The 16,689-nt window shown below is 31.7% G+C and overlaps 1 protein-coding gene across 12 annotated transcripts in view; it reads right to left on the reverse strand.

Moving 5' to 3' along the window:
• Positions 1 to 16,689, reverse strand: part of EPHA7 (EPH receptor A7) — a 179,540-nt gene that overhangs the window by 98,711 nt on the left and 64,140 nt on the right. The window contains exon 6 of one of the 12 annotated variants that reach the window (XM_017010366.3): positions 283 to 5,017. The exons of 10 other annotated variants lie outside the window; for them this stretch is intronic. In XM_017010366.3, coding sequence (XP_016865855.1) covers positions 5,013 to 5,017 — 5 coding nt within the window. In that variant the 3' untranslated portion in view covers positions 283 to 5,012. Of the gene's footprint in view, positions 1 to 282; positions 5,079 to 16,689 lie in introns of those variants that run through there. One more of the 12 variants, NM_001376469.1, reaches the window with a different exon arrangement.

A 16,689-nucleotide genomic window follows, 5' to 3' on the forward strand; every position in this document is an offset into this window, starting at 1 on the left:
GAATCTTTTCAATTTTCCCCTTTAAAATAATTGTCTTCCAAAGTTATACTATCTAACCTCAAAACATGATATAAATTGAGTGCAATGATGGAAGAGGTCCTGTAGTCTGATAGAGAAGAAAATCATATGTATTATATATTGTAATACATATTACATATCTCTATATATCTCTATATTATATATCTCTCCTTATAGCTATATCTATATGTACAGAGAGATAATCAAATTTTATGTTAAATTAAATAAATATTAAATTTTATATAAATATATGCACACATATAATACCGTAGGATACCAACATTTTATTAAATAACAATTTCTCAAAGTGTACAGGAATAAAATTTTACATGAACACTTAGCATCATTTTTAAAAACATATAATACAAAAACTGGCAATAAAATAAGTTTTTAATTTATTGGGAGATAGTGTCTTCAGAATTCAAAGTTCATTTTTAGAAACTGATTATATCTAATACAACTCATTAATTGGTAAAATTTTGCCTAGAGATTGGTATTTAAAAGTGTCAACATTACTTGTTTAAAGAATAGTCAACGATTTATTATTCTTTTGTAGTCCCGGTTATTGAGAGGGTTACATATTGTGAGACTGAAGACAACATTAATCTTGTATAATAATCAGCATTATTTTGTTACTTTTTCCAAAACTGCACTTTGCCACAGTTAAATTTATAGCAAAGAATTCAATTCTACTACATCAACACCACTAACTCATAACTGAATGAGGTTTTTATTTTATAAAACATTTTTTCATATATTGCTTCATGTAATACTGAGATTAACTAATAAGATAAAGAGATTGCATTACTTGCCCAAGGTCAAAAAACAACTTGATCAACCTGGGATTCAAACATTTTGATTCTAAATTCAGTGTCCAATTTCTCTGATATGTCTTTTATGTCTATTTTTCTCTAGATGCATTATTACATAGAAACTGATTTTATTTTGATATAGAAAAATAATCCACTGGGCTCGATATATTTATTGACTATGTAAACAGCCCAGGCAATACATATTTTTGGCATGTCAATACATTGAAAAAACATATGTCTAAAGAATATACAAAAGTAAAATAACTTTGGGGAATGTTTCTGGTTAACAAATCATTCCTAAATACTAAACTGGACCCTATTTATTTACTATACAATGTACAAATAATCTCTCCCTTTATCTATATAAGTCAGATCAATTATATTCGCCATATTCCAATTCAAAATGGTGTTACAGGGAACAATAACAATTACTGAGAAATATAAATTCTCATGATTCCTAGGTTCCAAAGGGAAATAAACATAGGGACAGATGTTAATAAGCCACAAACTCTTTGTTTAGCTATATATGCCTGATTATTACAGGAAGTATGTCAATACTATATAAACAAAACAATTTCTTTAAAAATGTAAAATATGAATTCATATATATTCAAACAGGATATATACATATCTGAGTGTGTATGTATACGTGTGTATATGTGTATGTGCATACATAAACTTTACTACAGAATTCACAATAGTAAATCATTCAGTAATGAATCTTCTTGACCAATTTAAATTCTGAGTTAACCTACTGTGTGGTTTGTAAACAATTATCATGAATGTATCTAATGAAAACATTATTAAATTATCACATCTTCATTCTAGAAATATTATGGATACAGGTTTAGAATACCCGATCTGAAAATTTAAAATCCAAAATGCTCCAAAGTTAAAAAGAATTTTGAGCACCGAAATGATGCTCAAAGGAAATGCTCATTCAATCATTTTGGATTTTGTACTTTTAGACTGGGAACAGTAAGTATAATACAAATATTACAAAACTCCAAAAAAAAATTCAAAATCTGAAACACTTCTGGTCCCAAGCATTACAAATAAGGGACACTCAACCTGTAGTAAAACGTTTCTATATATAATTGCAAGTAAGCCACTTTTTAAAAATTGAAGATTTATTTCTAAATGACAAGGGAAACTAATACTTGGGTAAAAAGTTCCATGTGATTTTTACAAAGAAATGTTAAATGTTTTAGAAATCCATATTATATGTCTTCAATTATTTTTGTAAAAATCAAAAGGTCCAATTAAAGTTATACATTGAGAGAAAAAAAAACAAAGTTAGCTGTGTAAAGTTGGTTTTTATAGTGGAACACTTATAAATGCCATCACAATCTATGGCCTTGTGAAGATACAGGTAGTAGTCTGTGAGAGAACTCAGGGCAAGAGGCAGAGATTCATGGGCTCACCTGCATAGGAATGACAGTGGAAACTGGAAAAGTACTCACCCTTTCTCCTAGTACCATCAGTCCAAATTTTCCAAAATTCTTGCTGGGTAAGCATTATAACCTATTTAGTCTATTAAAGATTGGACTGCCTTCTCTTCTGCAAATCAGACAATCTATAGCTTAAAATAATGGCAGATATTTAGGTCACTTTCAAACAGACAGCCAATCCATCTACTCTATATTTTAATTTGATTTTCAGAGAACCCCCAGGGTTTCTTGAAATATTCTCAGAGAAGCAAAATATTACATATACAGTAATCATAATTTCCAAATATACAAATCATAAAACATTTATGCATTTTTGCACAAGATCATAAAATAAGACTACAACAGAAGGCAAATTTTATATTTCAAACTTACTTTGAGTGTGCGTGTGTGTGTGTGTCAACTAAGTTGTTAGGATCACTGACCTTTGACATTAATCAGTTTCGGAAATTAAGAGATAGAAATTATGAAAATCAAAAGATAGGAAAGTATAAAAAGTGAGGTATCTATTAATTCAGAATAAAGAAAGTTATAGAAAACAGAGTATATAACTGAATTTAAAGTACAAGGCTAATTGTAAATGTTTCTAATTTTATCTAACCATCTTTAACCCCAATTCACTTCAATTCATATAAACCTTAAATCCTGAACTAAACCAACATGCTGAAGTTTAGATGGTAGCTTTTGCAAACTTACACCAGCAAACTGATACAAATGTTAGCTACAGTTAATAATTCAGCACAGGTCCTCTACATACAAAATGACATGCAGATTGGTTATACCTAGAAGTGAAAGGTGACTCAATTTTAATATCATTTTCATGATTATAATAATCTATAGGTTTCTTTGATTATGGAAGTATATTTGTGATGCCAAATATAATTTAATTTATTCACAATATCTAAGAGAAAAAATTCATAGGCATACTTTCAAGATTTGGAAGGCCTCAGATCTCTTTCAGGGCCTGCCTGGTGAAAAAGGCCCAAGACCCACTCAAGCACACATAATTCTGAAGGTCTGTCTGCCAGCAATAAAGGCCGAAATTGGATACTTGGTGAGATTAATTACCTAGATAGGGCTTGATAATGCAAGTCAAATGGGAATGTAATTAAAGTGCACCTTCCATGAAAATTATTCATTGCTGATGGATCAGGTGACAGATAAATCAAAAGGCATTTTTTAAAAAGCCTACAGGTTAACTTGAAGCAAGTCTTTCCTCTTTTTAAAACTCTGTAATTGCAGGTGTGGAATTCACTCTTGCTGTCCTATCCTCATCATGATACCATAAGACAAAAAAGTAGATTGTAATGTAATCTATTAGAAATAGAAGCCAATAGAAAAACCATTAGGACCATAGTTACAAACAAAAGGTCACCTAGACTGGAACCAGTTGGCTGGCAGCTTTCAGAAGAGAGTATCACTCTATGCTCATACTATAATGGAGATTGCAACCATAAAAAATGACAAGTGATGAATTAATAAGTTGACTAGTCCCTAGGGTGCAATTCTTACAGATAAAGGCATGCTGGAGTAATCAAATAGAGTTATAAATTAGATAAATAGAATGGCACAAGAAGTATTTTACATTGTCATTATTAAATAAAGTCCTCCTGGATGTGCTGTTAATTCTTTATTGCCAGTACATTTATTTACAGTGTAAGAACAATAAAAAATACTGTTTTATAAGGATGGCAGGGTAATTTCAGTTACCTAGAAGGATACTAAATCTAATTTCTATATTGAGTTATCGTATATATGTTTATTATGCATCTAAGAGAAGAAAGATGAAACAAAATATCCAATTAAATGACAGTTATTAGAAAATATGGCTTTACATGTTATTCATTTGCCTACTCTAACTAATGAACACGTCTTTACTGATATGTGTAAAGAAAACACATATTGTCTGCAAGAACAAACTTCATGCTGAACAAGAAAATCGTGTCATCCAGCAGATGGCATATGGAATTCACAAAAAAATCAATTACTATTAGAAGAAATAATAATAACCTAAGCATAAAAGTTGAACACTTTTTGTTCTTTGGAAAACTTTGAATAATACTGATCTACAACAGTTACTACAAACCCTCAAATAGTCATTTGACTTTTCCAAAACTTTATACTTTTTAATTTAAACTTGAAAAACATCCAAAATTTGAACTCAAATTCCTTCAACAATCTATCTGTCCCAGGATCACATAAAAATACTTCAAATTAAAACATAATCAAATTTTTATAATCACTTACATGCAATTTAAATAATAACTGCAGATGTTTTAACCTAGTTCTAAGAAAGAAATATTTCTAAAATTGTGTTACATAAAAAAATTTACAAAGCAGCTCTTTTTACACAGTGAAAACTTCAGAAATAAAAAAATTCAAAGTCAAACACATGATGTAGATTTTAGATATGTAAATTGGATATACAGGGTTTGTGTTTGAAGTGCTATAAATTTAAGTGTATAAAAATATATCTGTCAGAGAATTATCTGTTTATAGTTCTTCATTCCTAAAGGTTATGAATTAAAATTGAAAACAGGCATAGCAAACACCCAGTGCATTTTATCAGGAGACATTGCTTTTTGCGTTCCCTGCAGGTTCCAGTTAGTAACTTAATCCCAGCCAAACTATAAAGTAAACTGTTCATGATTTGTCAGATTAGCTGATGCTTGTCCAGAAAAATGGTCGAAAAAAGAGTCACCAGGACACTATAATTAAGATCCATTCATCCATTTCATCCTTGGATTGAAGAAAATAATGAAACATCAAAGTAGGCAGGCAGCAGTCTAAAGGAGGTCAGCTGTTGTATTTTCAAACATAACACCAGTGTTTAATGCAGCAAGTGTACCAGAAGTCACTTACAAATTATATTAATATCTGACATTTGTTGAAATAAGATAATGGCTTTCTGTTCTTTGTTTATATAATTTTCAAAGATAAAGGAAATGTGTCTAAAAATAAAAGATTTATCAGTATTAACAAATACTGCACATAGCAAAAATAAAATTTCCAAATTTTTAGGTGGTTATACTTTTTATATTGGCAAGTACATGATATGGGACATATAATTTAAAATCTACTGGAGAAAGAAGAGATATATGTCTATCTATCTATCTATCATCTATCATCTATCTAGCATAACACAGTCTCTGTATTAGATGTGTATAAACAGTCCTTTGATGTTATAGCATTTAATATTAATGATACTATCTTAGATGACAGATAGTTATAAATGCATAGTTTATCTTTGTACAATTAACATCTTTCTTTTTATGACCTTTATTTCTGAGATTATCAGGTTCTCAACAATGAAATTTGTGTGAGGCTATATTTGGGTTCTTGGTGATGTCAGGGATGTGAGAAAATAGGATGAGATGTCAAAACAAGGAGAAAACAAGGTTATGATAATGTATTAGAAAAGAACAAAGGCAGTAATTTTTTCCAAACATAATTCAGACTCATTCTCTGTCTTAAAGTCTTTACCAGTCTGATAAATGTTGTATGAAATCAGCATAAAAAGTAATCTATTACAATTCAATTCAGCCATCATTGAGCTGAATACTCTACTACGTATGCCATAGTGTCAGGCTTTGCTTTTGACCATGGTAAACATCATTATGATAGTTTCTACCTCAAGTTATCAGTAAAAACTGTTTCTCATGGTTCCAAATTTTCAAATCCAGTAGACTTTCTTGTGTCTTCATTCTATTGACCTCCTGTGACACTTGATTCTATGATTAACTTAATGAGAAAATTTCCCTTCCTTTGGTAATTGTGACAGCCCCCTTATTCAACTGGCCTGGCCACCCCTCTTTGGTCTTTGTCATGTGCTTCTGAGATTCTTCCATCCTAACTATTTGTTTTCTCAAAACTTTTTTGTCACACTTTTAAATTATACCTCCACTCCTCTTCCCCGGAGAGGCCACTCATTAACTCACCATCTATAGGCAAAAGATTCCTAAAGCTGTAACATTTAAGCCCTACCACCATTCGAATGCCCATTCTCTTAGGAATATATATGTACTCATAAAATGTATGAGGTTAAAGAACATATGTTTATTACTGTCTATACATGTCTATACACATAAATACATCAGTTCACAGTGTTATAGTCTGACGTAACTAGAGTTAAGGGTGCTGAGTTTAAGAGTATTAGCAGTATTTGAATAATACAATAGTGATATGGCTTAACCAGTTTTGTTTTTATCATCATATACAATTTCCATTATGGATGCTATGCTCAGACAACGTTCTGCATCTTTCTATATGCTGAAGTTAATGACGAAATATTAAAAATTAAGACACTAATTATCTGATGTCAACACGCTATGGATAATTAAGAACTGCATGCTTTAAAGCTATGCTAATTGTTTTTCACAAATCTTCCTCTGTAGTCCTTGTGTCTTAAACAAGGCAAGCAGCTACATGACTGTATGTACATCTCTGCCATGTATTTTGCCACAGAACATACATCATCTGCTCTGCCTTGTCCCTGACTAATTTTGTTAAGGCTGCAGCAATTATCTCTCCCTTTGTGATTGACCTATTTGTAAATTAAGTGCAGAGAATTTGGGTAATTTTTTCCCAGGGTTCTTAATTGATCCTTGTTCATTGCTTACACTAGTACAAAGGGAACCAAAGTCATAAAAACAGTTAAAATTCAAACAAGTAACAATCATGCTTTAGCAGTTGTAACTGACAGATCTGAAAAACAAGATCTTGATAGTGTTCTCTCCTTTACCCTATTACTTGGATCAGTTGGTTAAAACTGTTAATGATTCTTGTGGATCAATGCCTTTTCCTTGTAGCTCTAATTTACTGCATTGGTAGATTAGTACAGATGTTTTTTTGGATGGCTCTGCATCATTCCACCAGATTGCTTGTCTGGATCAAATTTGCTTCAATTCATCACCAACGAAGCAAGGGATAAAATAATCAACATTTACTCCCTCTGAACTCATGTAGTGAAAACAGAACAACAACTAAATGCTTGTCCAAATTTAAAGACAATCTCCTATCTTTCACCTACATTTCATAGCTTTCAAGGCTATGTCCCTTAGCTGATCCAGGGCTGAAAATGGTGTATATGATTGACAGTGGCAGTGCATAGGAATTGGGATTGGGGGAAAACCTAAATATGTACTTAAAATTTATGGGCCCATGTTTTTACTACTGTCGTCATCATTATTACCAATTCATATTATGTGTCTTTGTCTTTACATGAATAATGTATGAAATTACTATCCATTGGCTTTTCATTCTCTGAAATGCAGCTTATTGATTTCTTGCTCTTAAATGAAATTTTTCTGAAACTGCGTCTGTCTCCACAATGCTACCGCTTCAATAACACTTAGAGAAATGGGCACGATAGCTAGCTACATAAAAACTAATTCATGACTCATGGAACAAAACCTGTTTGTACCATAGAACCAAGCAAATCAGGTAACTGGTTTCAGTCAAGGAAGGATTAACCAAAAACACTTCTTTAGTCAATGTATATTGGAAACCTATTACAAATGTGTTAGTTTGTATTCTTGGCAGGGTATTACTAAAATATAACATATTTGTTATTTTTTATGATTTATAATTGTTTACTATCTCCAGAAAAAGAGACTGTATTCAATATATATTTACCTAAGGTTATGCCCTGAAAAACTGTGCATATTTTATTTAAGTTCCTCCTGTTAACTTGCTTTTTGTATTTTTCCCCTAAAAGTAAAGAGCATGTGGTCCAGTTAGTCACATTTTACTTAAAACAGATTTTCTATATATCACTTGAACAAACTTCTTTACTCTAAAGTGGCTATTTATTTGCAAATATTATTTTAGTAGATGAATATTCAGCTTACAAACTTCTTTACTCTAAAGTGGCTATTTATTTGCAAATATTATTTTAGTAGATGAATATTCAGCTTACTTACAATGTCTACTACATAAACTCGCAATTGCAAAATAAACGATCTTCTATTAAGGGCAATGCATGTAATAAGAATTACTTTACATAATTCCATCATTATGGACTATTCCAGGATAATGATCCTAATGGGAAGTCATATTTTTTGAAGAGGATGCTTAAATTTAGCAAATTACAAATTTGTATCTCCAAAATATAGAGCTATAAACACTTTTTCCTAAGAAAATCCTGAAATGGTACTGACTTCTTAATCTTGTAGAAATTATTAGGTTAAAATTGCCAAGAATTTGACAAACTTACCCAAGCTTCAAAACTTGGGAACAAAATTTATTATAACTTTTATATTGGATGTTCTGTTACCATCAATGTATCACCTTCTAAAATTTATTAGATGATTAACTGGCTCTGTTAAAAAATAAAAACCTGTCTTGGACATTGAAAATAAAACATTACTATTGGTCATTTTCTGCTACTTACAAAGGTACTGCACTAAACAAGTTAAGGGTTTTTTGGAGGGGAAAAATCATAAAAATGCATAAAATTTCTACCACTGTCATTTCTTGTCCCATAAATAAAATTTTACATGCCTTAGCTGTCCTCATGCATATGGAAAATAAAGACTTTTCAGGATGGAATTAAATTATCTCAGGGATGAGTATTAGTCTGCATTTGTTGCTATAAGAAAATACCACAGACTGAGGGGCTTAAATTGAAATTTGTTTTCTCACAGTTCTGAGGGCTAGAAGTCCCAAGTCAAGGTCCAACAGATTTCAGTTTCTGCTGAAGCCTCTCTTTCTGGCTTGGGGATGGCCATCTTCTTGCTATGTGCTCACATGGCCTTTCTCAGTGTGTGTGGAGGAAAGTATACAGTTACATTGGGGGTTAGGGCTTCAGCATAGGAATTTTGAGGGGACACAATTCCATCACAGCAGTAGAATAACTGGGTTATTGCAAAAAATGAACTCTTGTTTCCCAAGTATGTAAACATCATTATTTACAAAGTAGCAATTCAAAGATCAAATAATTTAAGAAAAGATAAAGAAGCATTAAATTGGAAATATGAGACGCAACTTAAAACACTCTATACTAGGATTTTTTCAAGAGTCTACTAAGAGCATGTCCATTAAACAGTATGCAGATCAACTTGTCACCATAACCTCAACATAAGCCTATTTCATTACAAATATTAACCATATCAGAAAAGGATAGTTTTGACAACTCAGAAAGATACTGGGACTGGAGATCAGGGAGTTGAGGTGGCAAGATTAGGGTGTGGGGATGAGAACACAGGTTACTTAGAGGTATTTCCTTATGTATGTTTTAATTGAGAAGAGTCATGGCACAGTGATGTGCTGTAGCCTTAAAGCTGTCACCAAACCAAAAAAAATACAAAAATATTAAAACCTAAATATACCAAACTATAAAAAATATTAAAATAATGTATGAAAAGCTGATATTATGTTCCTAGGTACTAAAGAAAGCATCTCCAATCCTGATCTCTGTGCTTCTACATATTCAATGTTATATAAAAGATATAAATTAATTATATTTTCAACAAGCTTTCAAAATATGAAGCATTACGAAAGTTTTCAAAGTTAAGGTTTATTTGTACCTTTAATATTTTATAAGAAGGTTAAGCTTTTGTTTAAAATTCCTGTGTAAATACCACATTATGGCTGTAAACAGTTTAAGATTTTAAATATATTTACAGTTTTAGGACCAAATTGCAAAATGACTATACTTGAAATTATTAACTTATGTACTCATTGCATAATTTAAATAACATTATATCATTTGAATTAAATTAATGTCTTCTGTAACAACCTAGATAGTCTAAGAAATTTTCTTTGCATATTACAGTATACAAAGAATTTATGTACTCAGCCAACAAATATTTACTAACCATCTACCCTGGGCCCAATATGTTGATGGGGCTAGAGAGTATGATCAAAGGTACCGCCATTTTCCCCTAATGAAGCCTAAGAGGAAAGATAAACTTTTCACAACTAATATGTGAAGAATATTACAAATATATGATACACTTAGTATAAGACCATATCACAGAAACATGTAATTTTCTCTTAAACTTACATGATAAATTCGGAATGTGAAGATACTGTGCAAACATATGGGCCTTTACGTGTAAAGGAATCAACATGTTTTATACTAAGCACTACATAAATCCTGGTTATTAGTATTAATGTCAACATGGTAGTATGTTACCTAATTAAAATTTTATTAAAATAGTTATCTAAAATATCATCCTTTTTGTATGTTTTAATAACTTACAGCCACTAAATAAAAATGTAAATGTATCTATATATATATGTTTTCATATTTATGGTGTCACAAAAATACTTAAATAAATTTCACTAACAGTCTAAAGTTACTCCTTGTTTAAGCAAAGCATATGAATTACTAAAATGTCATGCCCTGCAGGGCATGAATTAGAATGACTAAATCCTGCACTTTCGGATACCTCAGGTTTATAAAATGTCTAAATGTAACAGAAATGCATATTTTGAACAGTTTACTGTTAAAGGAAATTTATTCGATTGATTCTCTGCTGCAGACGGCATAGGTGTACATATGAATGTATGTTTTAATAACAATAACACTATCTCTACAAAATGGTTCCTGTTTTTTGCATTTATATATTTTTAACCTAGTGATAAAACAATTATGCCTTGTTTCACCCTGTGGAGAATGCTGTGTTTAATATTACTTTATATAACCAATAAATGTTCTAAAATAAGAAAATATATTTTCTCAATATCATGTTCCTTTAAAATATAAATCAATCTTATATATTCCTAACAAGTATAAAAATATACAAATTTAAATGGAATTAATTTACTTATTAAAAGACATATAACTTGATGTGTGTCCATTAAATCATTGAAAAGAGACGATCTACGTTAATTTATGAGAAAACAGTCACAGTTGAGTCACATTAATTCATGTGAGTGAAGCTACTTCTGACAAATAAAGAAAATGATTGTTGGTTTTGTCTTTTTTGGGGATAATTTTGCTTATGTATAATGTTATATCACATGACTCAGGTTATATTTCATCTGGTACATTATATAAACATTACAAATCAAAGTAAAGGGAATACTGACGCAAACCTTTATTTTGGCTGAGAAATTAGATCTGGGCATTGAAAAACACAGGAAAGTCGGTCAGTTTAAAATATGCAAGGCTATTTTTAAAGTTTCTTGAAGAAAGATAATAAAACAGTAATGAGAAGGCAAATGCTATATTTAGCAATGCTATCCCACAAAGATTACATTTGTTAATATTCTCAGGAAATAACACTTCTTAGTAGGTCTCCTTTTCACTTAACAGCTCTTATCACTGACCATTAAACCAATCTGCAATTTCTCGTGTAATGGATTATGGAGCTACATTTTTAAAGATAGCACTCTATGGTAAGATTGCATAAACAATAATTTTGAGGTAAGAAGTGTATTTGATTGCAATCATTTGGGTCATCACTATATAATTTACCGTGTGACCTTTGTAAAGTCATTCGAACCCTCAAAATTTTACTTTTAAAATGATATCAGTTCTTGTCTTAACAACTCCACAAATTTAGTTCAAATTTTAATATAATCTGAGTGAGTGTCATATAGATCATTCATCCATACACAACAAAATTGATGATGGGGATAAAACATAATTCTTTTTGAGAGACTCTAAAGAGACCTTTGAAGATAGTTGAGATGTCTCCACACCCTGATGGCAGATTCTTTGAAGCTTTCTTATATTTTCAGAAACTGTATGTTTTGCACATTTTTTCCACAGTAACACTAGGCAGGAATTTTTTTTTTTAACAAACGACTATATGTAATATGTGAAATGTACTGCGGAAGATACACAAAAGTTTAAGTTAAACCAGGGTCAATCTGTTACTTTCCTGTTCAAAAACACTCCGGTTTCCCCGCTGTCTATCAGAAAAGATTCTTTTCCTAAAAATAAAAATTCCCCAGTAATCTTTCCCACAAATCTTTATTCATCCAGTTCATACCATTATTCCATAATCACACTCTGAATGCTGCCACTCTTATTCTTTTGCATAATTTAACCCTCTATAATGGATATTGTAATGGGCTGCCCACATTCTCCTTAGAAAAGCACTGAAGAAATTATTTGCCCAGCTGCCGAGATATTTGCCAGAAAACAGGCCTCAGTTCCCTGCCTCATTTAGAATTTCCTTTCTGAAAAGTAACACCTTGCTCACTCCTAGGAAAAACTGCAACCCATGTCTGGACAACATAGACGTATAAAACTGTCACCTAGGGACAACCTGAGGGTTCATTACAGGTAGAGCACTCCCCATGGAGTTGGCTGATGATTCCAATGAGACCCCATCACAGCTCAGCCCTGCTCTGCTTGGTCCTGCTTGCTTCCCTTCTCTCTGATGGTGTTGATCCCAAACATTCTTCCTAATAAAACTCATGCACGCTAATCTCCATATAAGTATTTGCTTCCTGGGGAGCCCAACTTGAGAAACTATCCCTAACCTCTTTCAAGAGGTTTCAGTTTTCATCCTAATTCCTTCCAGATGCTTTCCAGAGCGTTAAAATAGTTATCACTCTCATTAAGAACTGTAGTATATGTACAGTATCACTCACCTATTAATAGTGTACAGTGAATAGTGTAGCATAGTGATACGTTTGTACTCTATACTGAGTTACTACTTTATTTATTTAGTTATAAATATATGTGGAGGTCTGAGAGGTCTTATGTCCCAAATCTCTCCGTTGCCTATGGGGAAAATATGAGGCCAAAAAAGGTGACTCAACTTTGACACTCTTTTCATGCACATTTTACATTTCAAAAAGTACCAGGAACATAGTAAGTGTTCAATAAATAGTAATATTTTAATTACTGCTCTTATAATTGTTTCAGGACAGTAACACACCTTTTTATTCTAATAAATGTACCTGGAATTAAGCTATTTGCTCAATTTTTACAATATGACGAGTCAAATAGTGTACCACTTGAGGAGAAAATTCTAGTATAAAGAGGTGAAGTAACTTGTCTAAAATCATGTAATTATGTCATCTAATATCAAATAATAAGTCTTTTCTATTAATGCCTTAATGGTTTCACTCTTGTATAATGATTTAATTTTTCTGGTTTTCCCATTGGCCTAATTCCACAACATTTTTTGTACAGCTAGTATGCAGAAAAGACTGTATTTGATGGTGGTGACACAGATAAACATGACACAGTTCCTGATTTGAAGGATAATTGCTAAGTCATTTATTTCCCTTTGAGGAGAGACCACATATTACAATTGCTTAAATAATCCCAGAGTGAATGAAGTATTAAAGAAAGAAACAGCATTTTTTGAGTGATCTGTTTTTATTAACGTTCATACTTCTGCATACTACTTCTGTGCTACGATACTTAGTCTCAGGAAGGAAGGTAGTGGCAATTACCATGTTCTGATTACAGAAAAGGGGTAGTATTCTTCAGGGCCTAGAATAGGATTTACTTTTATACTCTTACATCTAGCAAAATCACATCCATTCTGAAACTCTAGACTGACTAACATCTTTTATGGAAGGGCTTTCATTTGTTCTCTGAATGAATCATTCTTCAGAGTTTTGTATTTTGTTCCCAATGTTGTTCTACAACATTATAATAAAGTGTTCTATTGTTAGATACTTAAGAAGAGAACCATTCTTTACCTTCCTATCCTTAGCATCCCCCATAGTGCTTGACATGCACTAGGTACTTAGTGTAGTTGGACAAACTAATATTAAAAAGCAGCACTTAAATAGTGCTTAAGAATGGAAAACTATGGAATACTACACAGCCACAAAAAAGAACAAGATCGTGTCCTTTGCAGTGACATGGATGAAGTGGGTGGGCATTATCCTTAGCAAACTAACACAGGAAGAGAAAACCAAATACCACATGTTCTTACTTATAAGTGGGAGCTAAATGATGAGAACACAGGGACACACAGAAGGGAACAACACACACTGGGGCCTACTGTGGGGTGGAGGGTGGCCAGAGGGAGAGGATTAGCAAAAATAACAAATGGGCAGTAGGCTTAATACCTGGGTGATGAAATAATCTATACAACTAATTCCCATGACACAAGTTTGCCTATGTAACAAACCTGCACATGTACCACTGAACTTAACATAAAAGGTTAAAAAAGGCATTTTTTAAAGAGAACTTTTAAATATAAGGAAGAATAAGGGTCATAATGTCATAAATTAAATACATATGTTTTCCCCCTACTTCTATATTTTAAAAAATATCTCCGTTGTACGTAACTTGATCTTTGTGACTTCAGCCTTAATAGGTCAATATAATTACTAACAAAACAACAAGAACAAAAATGTATGGTTCAGCCAGCTTGTGTATGGCATGTTCATGATAAGTAAATATTAAAAGTATATAAATATGAATATTAAAATATGCTTTTCAATACAAATCTATCTTAAAGCTAAGATTTACATAAGAACCTCTATCATAAGATAATTGATAACTAGATAAGTCATATTTTTTACAGGCCAAACAAAATTAATTTCTCCCTCTTCCAATGTTATAATACGTTAACTGCCAATTCTGCACTCACATTATTTTCCCTCATGCTTCTGCAGATAAAGAAATTGGTCCATTTTGCCTTGACAGGTTCCCAAAGAGTTACATAAAAAGAGGACTAATTGGCATTCATTTTGCTATTCACTGCATTAGCATTTTTATGGCAATGTATGAGTTTAGTTTCCTCTAACATCATCTCACTTAACATGATAATACAGGAAGGTAGATATTATTTTATCCCCATTTTTTTTTTCATGAGGAGTTTAGTGATCAACCCAAAATGTATATACCTCATAGTGGTAGACTAGAAACTAGAACTCAGGGCCCTTGATACCAATGGCCCTATTCTTCCTGTGAGCAAAGGATATTCAATACACTTCTACTCACACAAATACTGGTAAAGGGTCTTGTGCTCCAAACTCAAAACTTAACAGAAAAGGAACTACAAAGTACACACACTACCTTTCAAGCACTGGCTGATTATTTGTTATCCTGACTCTCTAAGCTTTCCCAGAAACATGAAATTCTCTTAATAAACCCTTTTATGCTAGGCATCAGTGGATTGCTGAGGAGGAAGATAACCAACCAGAAATATAGACTTAAATTCATTGTTGAAGTGATTTCAGCATGAACTAGGTTGGAAATGATGCTATTTGTTTAATGGAGAATGATAATTTCAAGGGTTTTACAGGGTTCCTTGGATAGTTTTGAACTCGGACAAAGTCTCAAATCACCCCCCTTTAGGAAGAGCAAAAATATGGTAATGGAGGGAACTGAGTATACTCACACAAAAGAACAATAATCACTAACACATTCCAAATTTTCTCTGTTAGAAAAAGTTAACTGTAAATTCATGAGTTTTAGCATTTGAGATGTAGTCAGACTAGGCAATCATGAATTAGTATTTTAATACAAAACTGCAAACCTAGTTTTTTAACCTTTATTTATGTTTATGTTATTTAATAAATGTATAGGTATTCTTTTTATCATTTTTTCTTTTCATCGAGGTATAATTTAAATAGCATAAAATGTACTCATTTTAATATACGATTAAGTATTTTTAGTATATTTACAGGATTGTTGTACAATCATCACAATATATTTATTGTACATTTAAATCAACCTCCCCCACAAATAAAGCAAAAAAAAAAAAAAAACCCTCCAGCCAACCTAGTTTGTTCTTAACCAGAAGGGAGTCAACATCCAAAGCCATTTTACATAACAACTGCGAAATATTTGATTCCAGAAACTTACAGAAATTTGATAATATATTTAGCCTGTATAGTATTAACTTGAGAAATCAAACAATAGACATTTTAGGAACATGAAAAGACATCCCCAAAGTGGCCAATTTGACAAACACTATTTCTGGTATCAGTTCAGCATCTCCTGGTTATATTCAAAAATAAAAATGTCACTTCTTGATATTAGCAGGAATAAAAGAATGTCATTCTAACTTAGTAGAACCAAGTTTATATTAATGCTTCCAAAAGATAGCTCTTATGTCAAAATCATAAACCTAAAAACGTTTCAAATCCACTCACTGCAAAGTTATGACAACAAATTTATATATAAAACAACGCAAGTGGAACTATCTTATGACAACAGCATTTTAAAATAAATAGGATAAATATGTCTAATAAAAGAGGTAAGTCCAAAGTAAAATAGGTAAGTCCAGGTAATTAGCTAAATCACTTATTTTTTGTCTAATTATTAAAGATTTACATTTCTATGTTTTACCTCCCGATATCTGCTCTTATAAATAGGAGATCTGATTCAAACAGCCTTTGAAATAAGCATCAGAATGAAACCTTTAGAATAAAAACCCACTAATTTGTTAAAAAATGGTAAGTCTGAGATCATATACATAGTTTTCATTATGTAGATATAATCTAAATAGGTAACAGTTGGTTAAAATTAGCATGGA

This window comes from Homo sapiens, chromosome 6 (assembly GCF_000001405.40).
Source record: "Homo sapiens chromosome 6, GRCh38.p14 Primary Assembly".
NCBI lineage: Eukaryota > Metazoa > Chordata > Mammalia > Primates > Hominidae > Homo > Homo sapiens.